Here is a 14,110-nt window from a genome sequence, read left to right as displayed (position 1 = left end):
ACACTTTGGTGCTGTGGTCAGGTTAATATTAGGTTGGTGCAAAAGTAACCGTGGTTTTGCTATTGAAAGTAATTAATGCAAACTTGGGTCATTGCAAACTGAAGCCAAACCAGTCATAGATGGCTAAGTCAAACTAAAGACAGTTTGCGTATTTCTGCAGCCACCAAGCCCCTTATAGGCTGTGAACCTCTTTGTAATGGCTACCCGGTGGATGGGGGCAGCTCTGCAGAGTCAGTTACTGGAAGAGATGGGAAGAAAACCTGAAAGAGAGCCTGCTGAAGACCTTAGTCCAAGGCCAATGACTTCTGTCATAGGGCTGCATTGTTTGTGTTCGCTTTATAGGGTCTAAAGTAGGAAGGAAGTGTGTCCCTCTAGCTGCTGAGCTTGCTACATAGATCAGATCTGACTGGAGGAAGCGGGGTTTCTGGATGTGAAGATGAGTTAGGTAGCTAGAGCTGGGATTGTACACCTTCCCAAGATCATGGAGAAAGTCAGTTGCTGGGCACAGGAAAAACAATCAGGATTTCAGAATCTGCTGGGTATCCGGGGTTGAGGACATGGGTGCCTATGTGTGAAATGCTGTGGGATCCACTGTCAACAGCCTGTTGATGTGAGAGTCCCTGGCATCTTGGAGACAGTGTGTATTCTTCAAGGCATTTATGTTGATCCAGGATCAAACACAACTTACTGTGAGTTAGGTGGCTTCAGCAGGAGAGAAAGTTTCTTCTACTCAGAAAGCAACAATGTGCTCCCTAAAGTCACCTAATATTGTAACATCCTCTGTGCTCAGACACTCAGCACCCTGTGCCGAGCAATGATAAGGCATGTAAACGGCCTAGCATTGCCCTTAGTACCAATAAATGCTCAAGAAATGGTTGCATTATTTTCAATAATAGTAATTAATAACACTTACAGAGCATTTACTATGTGCCAAGCAGTGTATTAAGGGTTTAGCAGTTCTTCACTCATTAGGTGGGGATCATTTTTATCTCTGTTTTACAGATATGGAGGTGGAGGCCAGGCATTCCGGAATTCAAAGCCAGGCATTCTGGCCCCAGAGTCCACATTTAACTATTGTGCTTTTAATTAATACTGCAAAGAGTTGCCAATAGGAGACCAGAGGAGGGCAAGATGGCTTCTGGCTAGGGTGACCAGGGAACACTGCCAGAATGACAGATATTTCAGCTGGCCCTTTCACATAAATTGAACTATATTTTCTTCTACTAGCCCTAGTCCTTGGGTCTGAAACTGAGCCCACAGGTCCTGCTGTTACATGAACTGGGGTATGGGTATATAGCCAAGGCCTCAGGCCTGCTGAACCAAGAGTTTATTCAGCAGGGAGTGGGAAGCCAGTAGTTAAGCTGGTAAGGAACTCTTCAAGACTCTCTGAGTCTTCAAGAAAGTTCTAACAGCCCACTGGGGGACTTTTGCCTCTGCCTACATCAAAACACATTTTTTAAAAAGCTTCTGCTTTGTACTTGCTGTTCCTTCATTCTGGAACATACTAATCATTCCTCATCCTTAGGACTCAGTTGATGTGTTTCTCCATCCATGAAACCTTCCTCAGTGCCACTGGGCAGAGCTGGCTGTGTGTGTGTGTGTGTGTGTGTGTGTGTGTGTGAGAGAGAGAGAGAGAGAGAGAGAGAGAGAGGGAGAAACTTGTCACACGGTATTGCGGCTTGTCATTACAGTGTGGCTTTTTCAGGACTTTGAGTTCCTTGAGGCCAGGAGCCATGTTGTATTCATTCTTGAATCCCACTGCCCGGCCCAGAGCCTGGTACATAGTAGGTGCATGATGATTGTTTATTGTGGAATTAGAGAACAGATTTTAAAACTTGAATTCTCAAAGAAGGAGGGGCAGGATGCAGTCAGCATTACTCATTCCCATCTCTGCCCAGTCTCACCCTGCTCTCTCTGCTTTCTACCATGGTCTCCTCTGGAAGGGTATGGCCAACTTAATGCAAAGGTCAGGGCATCTTTGGTTCTTGGACTGATGTTTACATTTTTGAACTCTCAAGGACGTTGACATATCCAGCAGCTGAACTCCAAGTGAGCACACCAGCTTATGTTGGTACAATCAGCTTCACTGGGGGTAGCTTTATTATATTATAAAAGTCTAGTGAGACCCTCAGTCCCTTCCTCATATGGGCACCACTGACTCCCATTTAGAGCCTAATATGGTTTAGCTGTGTCCTCACCCAAATCTCAACTTGAATTGTATCTCCCAGAATTCCCAACAACCCAAGGTTGCATTAATTACTTTTAATGGCAAAACCACTGTTACTTTTGCACCAACCTAATATTAACCTATTGTGGGAGGGACCCATGGGGAGGTAATTGAATCATGGGGCCAGTCTTTCCTGTGCTATTCTCATGATAGTCAATAAGTCTCATGAGATCTGATGGATTTATCAGAGTTTCTGCTTTTGCTTCTTCCTCATTTTCTCTTGCTGCCCGCATGTAAGAAGAAGTGCCTTTTGCCTCCCGCCATGATCCTGAGGACTCCCCAGCCATGTGGAACTGTAAGTCCAATTAAACCTCTTTTCTTCCCAGTCTCGGATATGACTTTATCAACAGCATGAAAATAGACTAATACAATAAATAGGTGCCAGTAGAGTGGAGCATTATTGAAAAGATACCCAAACATCTGGAAGCGACTTTGGAACTGGGTAACAGGCAGAGATTGGAACAGTTTGGAGGGCTCAGAAGAAGACAGGAAAATGTGGGAACTTCCTAGAGACTTGTTGAATAGCTTTACCCAAAATGCTGATAGCAATATGGACAATAAGGTCCAGGCTGAGGTGGTCTCAGGTGGAGATGAGGAACTTGTTGGGAACTCAAGTAAAGGTGACTGTTGTTATGTTTTAACAGAGAGACGAGTGGCATTTTGCCCCTGCCCTAGAGATTTGTGGAACTTTGAAATTGAGAGAGATGATTTAGGGTATCTTGTGGAAGAAATTTCTAAGCAGCAAAGCGTTCAAAAGGTGACTTGGGTATTGTTAAAAACATTTCATTTTTAAATGGAAACAGAGCATAAACGTTCAGAAAACTTGCAGCCTGATAATGCAGGAGAAAAAAGAATTTTTTTTTTGAGGAGAAATTCAAGCCCGCTGCAGAAATTTGCATAAGTATCAAGGAGCCTAATGTTAATCCCCAAGACCACAGGAAAATGTCTCCAGGCCGTCAGAGACCTTCACGGCAGCCTCTCCCATCAGAGGCCCGAAAGCCCAGGAGGAAAAAGTGGTTGCATGAGTGGGGTCCAGGGTCCCCATGCTGTGTGCAGCCTGCGGACTTGGTGACCTGTGTCACAGCTGCTCCAGCTGTGGCTGAAAGAGGCCAAAGTACAGCTCAGGCTGTGGCTTCAGAAGATGGAAGAAAGCCCCAAGCCTTGGCAGCCTGCGGGTGCACGGAAGTCAAGAATTGAGGTCTGGAAACCTCCACGTAGATATCAGATGTATAGAAATGCCTGGATGCCCAGGCAAATGTTTGCTGCAGGGGTAGCATTTAAGGCTTGAAGCATAAAAGAAAGAAATAGAAGAGAAGGCAGGAGTGGAAACAGAACATAGTTATGATCTTCCAGTAGCTGAAATCATCTTAGGTTTCATTTTTTTAAATTAGAATATAATTCACACACTGTAAAACACATCCATTTTAAGTGTACAGCTCTTCAAGTTTCTGCAAGACAGGCATCAAGTTACCACCACATTCAAGATAATTGAACATTTTCATCATTACAGAACGTTTCCTTGTCTTTTCCCAGTCAATGCTGTTTCACCCACAGAGGTAGTCACTGTTCTGACTTTTTGCATCATCACATAGAATTTCAAATTGTTGCTCTGGAATTTCAAATTATTGGAATCAATTAAATGTTTATTTATGACTCTTTTTGTTCAACATGCTCTTTTGAGTCAACTGTGTTTTGCTTGCATGAGTATTTCACTGTTTTTTTCCATTGCTCAGCATTGTTCTATTGTATGAATTTAATCCACATTTGTTTTATCCATTCACCTGTTGGTGGGCATTCTAATGGTTTCCAGTTTGGGGGGCTATTATGAATAAAACCACTGTGAATATTCTTACACAATTTTTTGTGACTATATTTTATTTCTCCGAGATAAATGCTTCATAGTAAAGTTGATGAGTAACAAGGCAGGTGTATTTTTAACTATAAGAAAAAGTAGTCCCATTTTACATTTCTACCTTTAAAGTATACAAGTTCTAGTTATTTTACTTCACTTAGGCTTCATTCTAATAGCGCATAGTCACTAATTAGAGAGAACATATAACCATAATACTGGTTTCTACAAACCTGTTTCACAGGGTCTTCTGCTTCTCAGGAGATGCTTCACCCTTGAATGATCCTGATAGAAGAAGGGTTTTCCACTCACTGGGACCTTCAGTCCAGCATGCACATTTGGGAAGATTGTTCAAAGAGCAATGAGCGAGGAAGGCAGAACAGCTCAGCCCACTATGCAGGGTCAAAACCAACAAGAAATTTGATGCAGATGATAGAGCCACATCACCATCGTATCCAGGAATGGCTTTGTAACAACTCACTATTCCACCCCTGAAAGTAATCAGAGAATTTATTTACAATCTGTTAGCTAATTGTTCCCATACTGAGCACAGATCTTAACTAAATGACCTTAACTAAGTGACATTTAAATTTCTGCTCTCTGATATGAAAGTTACCATGCTCATATTTGGGTAGTAGGGTTTAATTTAATTTGCCTAAGATTGCAGCTGATTTCTGAGATCCCAAAAACAAATTTGATGCACATATCACAAGATATTATGTAAATGCTGAGAAGACAGGGACTTTCCAGGCAGAAGAGGGATGATGCACATCAGCTGTACAGCATCCAGCAAGTTGCATCCCTGCCGCTGGCGTCAGGGGACTCAAAGCCAAAGTGAGAACAGTAATTCCTGTTTCTAGCCACCTACTGCCTAGGATGGGGGTGAGAGTCAAATATGAAACAGTTGCATTCACATCCTACCAAGAGCTTGACCAAATCTGGGTTTAACTTTCAAATCTGGGTTTAACTTTCAAATCTGGGTTTAACTTTCCAAATCTGGGTTTTCATCCTCATGAAATAAAGATAACAGTATGTGCCTTACAGAGTTGTTATAGGAATTAGGTAGTGTAGATAAAGCACCATCACAGTGGGTGCACAATAAACAAAAGCCTAAATATTAAGTAGGCTTGTTGTCTGAGTTATACAAGGGTGCCATTTACCAAACACATATTCACTCAGCTGACAACCAGTCTTTCGTAAGTGCCTACTCTGAAAGAGGTACATTGTTTATTCTGTTGATAAATCTCACACAGTGACAGCAACACTACCTGGACTGTGATTTGTAACCCAAGTTTCAGCCTCCCAAATGTTCCTGATCCTCTTGTCATATGGGGCCACCTTCTCTTCAGTATTAAAAAGCAAACTGGCTCTAGCTCCCATATCACATAGAATTTGAAATTCCTATTCCTCCCTTTCCATATTTCCATGGATTCTCAGAGGATGGACACTTCTTTTAGATACTTCATAAGTTCCAGCTTCTGCTGAATTATTGATCTCTGTTTATGTCTTGCCTCCTGTAGCTGCATTCTTTTATTCATTCTCCATGGACCCAAATGTAAAACATATTTCCTTTCCTCATTGATTAAGGTTATTTCCTTTTATCTCTTATCACATACAAATAATCAGCCTGGTCTATTGTTATTTATCTGAATCAAGGTTTTATTCTAGTGTCCAGTATTTCTGCTGTTTCATTTTCCTGCACTTCTTGTACAGAGTGTCTTCTGATATTATTATTATTATTTTCAGACAGGGTTTTACTCTATCACCCAGGCTGGAGTACAGAGGCACCATCTCAGCTTACTGCAGCCTTGACCTCTCAGGCTCAACAGATCCTCCCACTTCAGCCTCCTGACTAGCTGGGGCTACAGGCGCGCGCCACCACATCCGGGTAATTTTTTTTTTTTTTTTTGGTAGAGATGGGGCCCCACTTTGCTGTCCAGCCTTGGTTCAAAACTCCTAGGTTCAAATGGTCCTCCTGTCTCAGCCTCCTAAAGTTCTGGGATTACAGGTATGGTGTTATTATTATTTTTTTAATTCAAACTATTATTTTAAGTAGGTGCAAGCATGTGACCCAATTATGTCCTCTGGTCTGTTTATGTGTGAATATATACATATTGAGTTGCATATTTTTATCACAGAGTACTATGTTTTCACCTGTCTATTACAGTTAGGATAGTATATTGTTTGTTTTTTTGAGACACAGTCATACTCTGTCACCAGGGTGGAGTGCCATGGCATGATCTCAGCTCACTGCAATCTCTGCCTCCCAGGTTCAAGGGATTCTCCTGCCTCAGCCTCCCGAGTAGCTGAGATTACAGGTGCACGCCACCACACCCAGCTAATTTTTGTATTTTTAATAGAGACAGGGTTTCACCATGTTGGCCAGGATGGTCTCAATCTCTGACCTCGTGATCTGCCCACCTTGGCCTCCCAAAGTGCTGGAATTATAGGCGTGAGCCACCACGCCTGGCCTATTGATTTTTATAATAATGTGCAGAGGTAGGTTAAACTATGAATTTAATCTTAGGATGGTAAAGGGGCAACAATTACACCTGTATTATAAAAAGAACTGTTGGTCTGATGATGTCGGGAACCTCTGTGAAGGGTGTTGTACGGGTGAACTGGAGAAACAGCTTTACATTCCTATGGCTTCTCTTTGTGCCATGTGCACTCAGCAGAAACCATGCTTTGCATACCCATACGATCATTCTGTTTTTCACTTTCAGTACAGTATTCAATAAATTACATGAGACATTCAACCCTTTATTATAAAATAGCTACTATTAGAGAATAAGCAATGCGGCTGGACCACACTTATTCCAAAAAATATGCAAGGTGCTTAGGGAGAGAACCTGTCAGCATAGTTAGAGTGGGAGCACCTCATTCAAATATCACATGCATAGTGTCATTTAACCTTCAGAACAACATCTTGTGGTAGGTGCTATGGGTTTTACAGCTGAGGAAGCAGGAGGCCAGAAAGGATAAGAAGCTCACTCAAGATCATGCAGCCAGGAAGGTGCCAGCCTCAGTTTTCACTGAGATTCTAGCACTTTTGGCCTAGTGTTCAAATTCAACGAAATTAAACACATTCTAAACATTCTCATACACTTGTTTCTAGTACCTCAATAGACAAATGATTGGGAAAGAAGATAATAAAACTGAGATTATAATATGCATTGTTTTATATAACTCCTTGAATACCTTAATTTTAATACAATAACTAGTTCTCCCACCACGAGGTTTTAAACGTTAGGAGCAGAGGATGGTTTTGAGCCATCAGTCTCTGAGTTAGGGCCCCAGCACTTCCCAGGCACCATTCTGCAGCATGGCTACTTATCAAATAATAGTGATGATGATAATTAAATAATAATATACCAACTTTTAGCAGTCTTATACCCTAATACAAAAGATTCAGCTGTGGCCTCTACCTACTGAGAGCAGAACTACTATCAGTGTAATAGCCTTCTGCTTCAAAGAGGAGGATGCTTACAGCCTTGTTGTTTATGTGGAAGCAGAAGAACCTGGAGCATCCTAAGGTGAGCTATTCATTCAGTGAGCTCATACTGGGTGCCTCTTGTGTGCCAGGCACTCTTGCAGGTATCGTCTACACTCTTGGCACTATAGCACTCAGTGATTCCTCAGCACCTCCTGGGAATGTCAAACTCACTAACTTGACATTTAGGATTCTTCAACATCTAGCCCCGGCTTGCCTGTAGGGGCTGCCACACATGTCCCTGCATGCACAGTTCTGGATGATTCAGCATCATTGGCTGCCTGCATGGACACTCCTCACTGCTTCCTGGAATCCCTCCCTAAGCCATGCACTCAAACATCTCTGAAAGCGGGGGCCATTCTTCCGTCAAGGATTACATGTACAAAGCTCTCTCATATGCAGAATTCTTCTATGGTACTTAGTTCTTCTGGCTTTGGCAAAGCCTCTGGGAAACCAAATGTAGAAAAGTTGTGCAAAGTCTGTTGAAACTGTCACAAACAACATGAGTTGCTACAAACTCTAGGAGCAGCTAACATCAACAAGAATTTAGTAAGTACTAGTTTGGAAAATTAATAATTCAGCAAATGAATGATTTTACAAAACTGATTTTTAGCTACCTTATTTTTAGCCAATTGGGTTTTGTAAATTTGCTTTTAGCTTCCCCATTCCTAACACTTCAATCTTCCTACCCCCCCTAAAATGTCACTGCTCATTAGTGACCCATCTTGCCAGGAGACTTCTTGGATGTTGGGGACCCAAAGCCTCATATAATAACAGAGTATTTGTTTGGCTGAGGTCTGCATTCCTATGATTCCTTAGAAACTTGGACCATATAGAAAAGGTTGCAGCCACTGTCAGCAGCCAATATAATTCTCTCTGCTACTCACTAGCTAGGTGACCCTTGTAAGCCACCAGCTCCTCTGAGCCTTGATTTCTTCATTTGTAATAGGAGAATAATACTGTGTATATTTGAAGGGCTCTTATGAAGATTCAATAGGATAATGTGTGTGGATATCCTAAGGCAGTGCTTGGTATATAGATGCATTTCCGGGTTGGCTTTCAGCTCCTCCCTACTGAGACTTCACACCCCATTGGCTCTTCAGCTGCGTGAGGCCTCAGGCTCTCAGTCTTCCCTGTGTGTTTTATTCCTTCTCCCCAGCAAAGCCTTTCTGACCCAGATCCCACCTTCTCACAGCTCTGTTCCTAGAACTGATGAAATAATTCAATCTAAGGTGAGGTGAAATTCAATAGACATTGCTATCATGTGTTATTTTGTTAGACACTATAGGTTGCATACACCAAATTTATCCCCCAATCCCCATCCTTCTCCAACTTCTTCCTTGGTAGTAGAACCCTGAATTTTTTTTTTTTTTTTAAGATGGAGTCTTGCTCTGTCGCCCAGGCTGGAGTGCAGTAGTGCGATCTGAGCTCACTGCAACCTCTGCCTCCCAGGTTTGAGCGATTCTACTGCTTCAGCCTCCCCAGTAACTGGGACTAGAGGCATGTGCCACCACTCCCAGATAATTTTTTGTATTTTTAGTAGGGTTTCACTGTGTTAGCCAGGATGGTCTCGATCTCCTGACCTCGTGATCCGCCCACCTCGGCCTCCCAAAGTGCTGGGATTACAGGCATGAGCCACCACACCCGGCCAGAACCTGATTTTTTTTCAGGTATTCACCTTCTTCCACTGAACCATGTGTTTGGAAAAGTTGATCCCATTACTCAAGTGCCTGCTTAGAAAAGTTGATCCCATTACTCAAGGGTAAAAACTGATTAGTCTTCATCATGGGAAGCCTATTTCTATGCCAGTGCCTGGTTAAGGGATGGGCATGGTACTCTGTTCCACCAATGAATACAAGGGGATGTCTGCCTGGGAGCTTCTGAGAAAGATTTCCTTGTTCCTACCTACAAAGGGCCATCCCTAGAGACTGCCATGTCTGCAGGTAACAGCAGGCTCATGACTGTGAGGAGGGTTCACTGGGGTTGGGAGTTTAAAAAGTAAAGTAGAGGTTCAAAAGAAAGTCTTCAAAGACTTTCCTCCCCATCTAATTAGGAATAAATAGTAACTTCTCTTAGGAGCAAAATTTATTCAAAGACCTGTGCTAACATTCTTAAATATCTGCTAGCTGTAACAAAGAAATCAATGTACTTTATGTTCTTAGCTCCCACAATTTAGCCTAAATATTTACCCTGGCATGCTTATACTGGTCCAAGCAAGCATTAGGTCATACCTGTTCCTATTCCTTATTTGAAGGTGTTTTTACCTTTCTCAGCATTCCACAAGTTACTTCCTCCTTCCTTTGTTATCCTCTGCCTTTGCCTCTTTTGAAAAGTTCTAAGTTGCTAGCCGATCAGGACAAATACAGAATGTGAGGTCCCCTTCCAGACAACAGACACCGGACACAGCAGTAGCGTGGACGCGTAAAGTTATAAATGACCCTGTCTCCTTTGTTCAGTGTACTCTTGTGGCAAAACTGCTGGCGAGTGTACCCTTTCTGCAGAAAGTAAAAATGGCCTTGCTGAGGTAGTTAAAATTTATGTTCAAGTGCTATTTCTTTACAGCACTGGGGAAGAAGCATTTCTAACAGGAGCCTGCATGCTGAGGATGGCAGAGGAAAAAGACAGAGCCATACTGAGCCCTTGGAGATGCCACTGAGGAGCTACGCTAACCAATCCTGGAGGCACCATAACCTAGGACTTCTTCTTATACAAGGTAATAAGTACCCTTGACATCCATGTGAGTCAGGTTTCCTGTGACTTTGGCTAAAAGCAACTTGTAAGGCACTAGGTGTGAGTGTGAAAGATAAAGAGATGAATATGGCAGAACATTGGTTCTCAGTGAGTATAAAATCTATGGCAAAAGGCAGGGAAGTACATTAAAAATTCTGAGAAGCATTTAAGTACAGGCATGGAAAAAGCAGAGTGGAGGCAGATAGAGTGGCGTGTTGGTTATAATTCGACCACAAAATGAACATGTAGATCCATAGTCTTCTTTTCCAAAGTGTGACTGAGGCCAGGCATGGTGGCTTATGCTGTAATCCTGCCACCTCAGGAGGCTACAGTGGAAGAATTGCTTGAGTCCAGGAGTTCAAGACCAGCCTGAGCAATGTGGCAAGACCTCGTCTCTACAAAAAACAAAAATAAAAATTAGACCAATGTCGTGGTGCACTCCTGTAGTTCCAGCTGCTTGGGAGGCTGAGGTAGGCGGATACATTGAGCCAGGGAGGTCAAGCCTGCAGTGAGCCATGTCCATGCCATAGCACTTCAGTCTGGGTGACAGAGCAAGACCCTGTCTCCAAACAAAATAAAAGAAAACAAAAACAAAAAAGTGAAGCTGCTTAGTATGTTTTTCTGACATGCTAAACAATGACATGATGACCTGGGTCTTGAAGCTGTTAAACTGGCAAGTGGCTGGTGGTAGGGCAGTTGGAATTGAGCAGTGTCCAGCAAGGCAGTCACTGGAGGAAAGAACCCCATAGTTTCAAAAACTGGTGCCACCAAAGAACTGAGACTCATGGACAGGATACCATGTGGTGAGCATGCTTGCAGTTCAAAGTCATCCCTAAATCCAGGGTTTAATTCTTACTTCTCATCTTGGGCTGTCAATAGCATCTGAGATAGGTTGTCATTACCTTCTGGAAACGCTTCTTCAGTTGGCCTTTAGGACATAATTATCTCTTGGTTCTCCTCTCACCTCACTGGCTGCTCTTTCTCAGTCTCCTCTGCTGATCCCTCCTCATTTTCCTGACTTCTCAACTTTGGAGTGGCCCAGGATTCAACCCTGCAAGTTTCTTCATCTTAGCAGATGGGAAGTCTATGCTTCTAGTTGCACAGGACACTTTAGTCAGGCCTATCCCAACACCCTGCCAAAGCAAGATGAACTGACCTTTGATCTGTCCCACACATGCCCTCAGGGAGATGGGGTCTTTCTGTGGCTGTTCACCCTAACCCTGTTTCACCTGGCTGCATTGCTAGAGAAGAAGTGGTTTAGAATTGTGATGATGTGTGAAGAAGGAGTCACTTAAACCAAGTGATATCAGTATCATAAGGAGCATATTTAATCTCCCCTCCTCCCCATCCCTTTCAACCTCTCCTTTTCTGTTCCATGTCTGTTCTGTTGTGACCTGTATGTGGGCTCCTTTTATAAAGATTACAAGTTCATCTCTGAGTTCCTACAACACCCAGACTATTTCCTTGAGCAGAATAATTAAATAATTAGATAGAGAACTTTTTATTTAAACATCCGTTCTTACTTAGGGAATCCCAGCCTGAATATTTTATTTTGGTGAAAATGACAAAAGGGGCTTGGATAAAATGACTGAACCATGTCAGTCTTTTGTGCAGAGGCATAAATGTGAAGAGGAAAGAGATGAGAAGGCACATATATGACTTCTTTTCCTGACTCTATCTGTTTCCACATTTGGGAAAATCTCCCCACAATTTCCTGCCTTTATTTTTGTTTATCATGAAAAATGAAACTAAGTTTAAGATGGGTCAGGATCTCACATACCAAGTAAACAGGAAATCAGAATTAGAATGCTTGGTGTTTGTGAGTGAGGGCAGTGAGAGAGCTAGTGCTTACCTTTCCTTTCTTTCTTTTTTAATTATGAAAATCACAAAGTAAGATAAAAATCTTTGCTCCTTGTCTTCTTACCACTGAAGATCTTTAACATTATCCTAGTGGTTGCTTGCTGAAGCTCTGCAAGGAGAAAGATTAGTTTTAAAAACTGATACAGGGTCCACAATTCCATATGTAAAAGGATTTAAGGATCACCAAACAGGAGTGGGCCCCAAAGCTTCACTGAGCCCTGATGAATGAATAGAACCACATTATAAGGTTCTCCAGAGAGTAGGCAAAAGTTACCAATTGTTTTCCTGAAATATATCAACAAGAATGCAGGCCTAATTAACAAACCTCAAGGTTGATTTTTCTTGCTGCCTTTTTCTCTGAAAGACAAATAATAAATGAATAAGGCTGAAAGTAAATGAGAACCATATTGGGAAAGTGAAGCCTAGTCAAACTTTTGGCTGGGCTGGTTGCGAGGAGCTAAAGTTCTTTAATCATCTCACTGGAGATGTAGCCAAAAAATGCAATTTGAAACACACGCACACAGACACACACACACACAGACACACGCACACAAACACACACACACATCAACACACACATCTAACTTATTTCCACACCCACACCCTCCCCCCTTTTTACTGTAGATGAATCAAGATGGTGGAGACAGGACATGATGAGAACCATTCCTGCTCTCCACCTATTTTATAAAAGGCTTTGACAATCAGTAATCTTTGCTGCCTTGGTTTGGGGAATCCATCTATGAATTCTTATAGTATAAATGTTCACTGTGCACCGTGCATTGGCTACAAGAAGCTAATAAGCAACTGGATTTGGTAATGAATTGGGAATATGCTAAGATGACAACCTATTTAAAATCCAGATTCTTCTAACAGATAATTTTTCTAGAGGATAAATTTGTTTGGGCTTAAAAGAATACTACTATCAGCCAGGTGTGGTAGCTTGAGCCTGTAATCCCAGCACTTTGGGAGGCAGAGGTGGGCAGATCACCTGAGGTCAGGAGTTTGAGACCAACCTGGCCAACATGGAGAAACCCTGTCTCTACTGAAAATACAAAAAGTAGCTGGGCATGGTGGCACGCATCTGTAATCCTAGCTACTCTGGAGGCTGAGGCAGGAAAATTGCTTGAACCCAGGTGGCGGAGGTTGCAGTGAGCTAAGTTCGCACCACTGCACTCCAGCCTGGGCAACAGAGAGAGACTCCGTCTTAAAAAAAAAAAAAAAAAAAAAAAAAGAATACTACATCTGAAGGTGGGAATGGAATGAGAAATGACAACTATATTATAATTGAGGTAGTTTCTTATTAGTTGACAAATTGACAAAACACAGAGAGGTTTTTCTTTTGTCAGGGTCAGTCAGGTCAATTTTATACAGAGGCAGAACTAATAGTTGAATATGGTGGTGTGATTTCAGGATGGTTTAGTATACACTCCATTCCACTCTACTTCACAGTACTTCAGAGTTTAAGGCTTGAAAAATTGCTATTGTCTTTGCTAACAGAGGGCCAGAAGGCATATCTATCTGGCTTAATGGAAGTTGGATGGGTGAGATGTGGACTTTTCAAACGAGGCCTCACTTAGATTGACATTAAATAAATTTGGCATATTGTAAGAATATTTTTACTCAACTTATGATGTTTCCTTTTGTTAAAGGGAGCTCATTGAGCGTTACTCCTGTCCTCCTCCTCTCCATTGCTCACCCTTCCAGGGTGAATGGATTATCTTACCTGACTGTTACATCTGGGCATGCTCGGCTCCATGTTCCTTCCTATTGGGAGTGAGTTGCTCACAGAGAGAAAGCGTTTTAGTTTGCTCTTCTAGGGGAGGGTTTTTCTTTATTGGGGTTCAGTACAGGCAGGCCAACTTGGCTAACAGATTGCCACATCCTCCAACCTGGCCTCTACCAGAAACAAAGGATATTTTGGTTTTCCGTTTGCCAGTCCTTTTTCAATTTG

At 42.3% G+C, this 14,110-nt stretch overlaps 1 long non-coding RNA gene across 1 annotated transcript in view, besides 1 other annotated feature; it reads right to left on the bottom strand.

Annotated features, from left to right (window-relative positions):
• Positions 7,299-8,498: an enhancer, noted in NCBI's record as "MED14-independent group 3 enhancer chr1:119900810-119902009 (GRCh37/hg19 assembly coordinates)". NCBI's record gives its function as "activates an origin of replication core promoter dependent on BRD2, BRD4, P300/CBP and CDK7 cofactors, and independent of MED14, by STARR-seq in HCT116 cells {active_cell/tissue: HCT116}" and the evidence as "EXISTENCE:reporter gene assay evidence [ECO:0000049][PMID:35650434]".
• The window catches only part of LINC01780 (long intergenic non-protein coding RNA 1780), a 27,931-nt gene continuing 24,323 nt past the window's right edge, over positions 10,503-14,110 (bottom strand). The window contains exons 3-4 of the long non-coding RNA NR_146623.1: positions 12,152-12,268; positions 10,503-10,694 (exon numbers count right to left, since the gene is read on the bottom strand). This is a non-coding gene — a long non-coding RNA (long intergenic non-protein coding RNA 1780). The remainder of the gene's footprint in view (positions 10,695-12,151; positions 12,269-14,110) is intronic.

The sequence above is a fragment of the Homo sapiens genome, chromosome 1 (assembly GCF_000001405.40).
Source record: "Homo sapiens chromosome 1, GRCh38.p14 Primary Assembly".
NCBI lineage: Eukaryota > Metazoa > Chordata > Mammalia > Primates > Hominidae > Homo > Homo sapiens.
The sequence above is the reverse complement of the archived record's forward strand: the minus strand, read 5'-3'. Positions and strand labels throughout refer to the sequence as shown.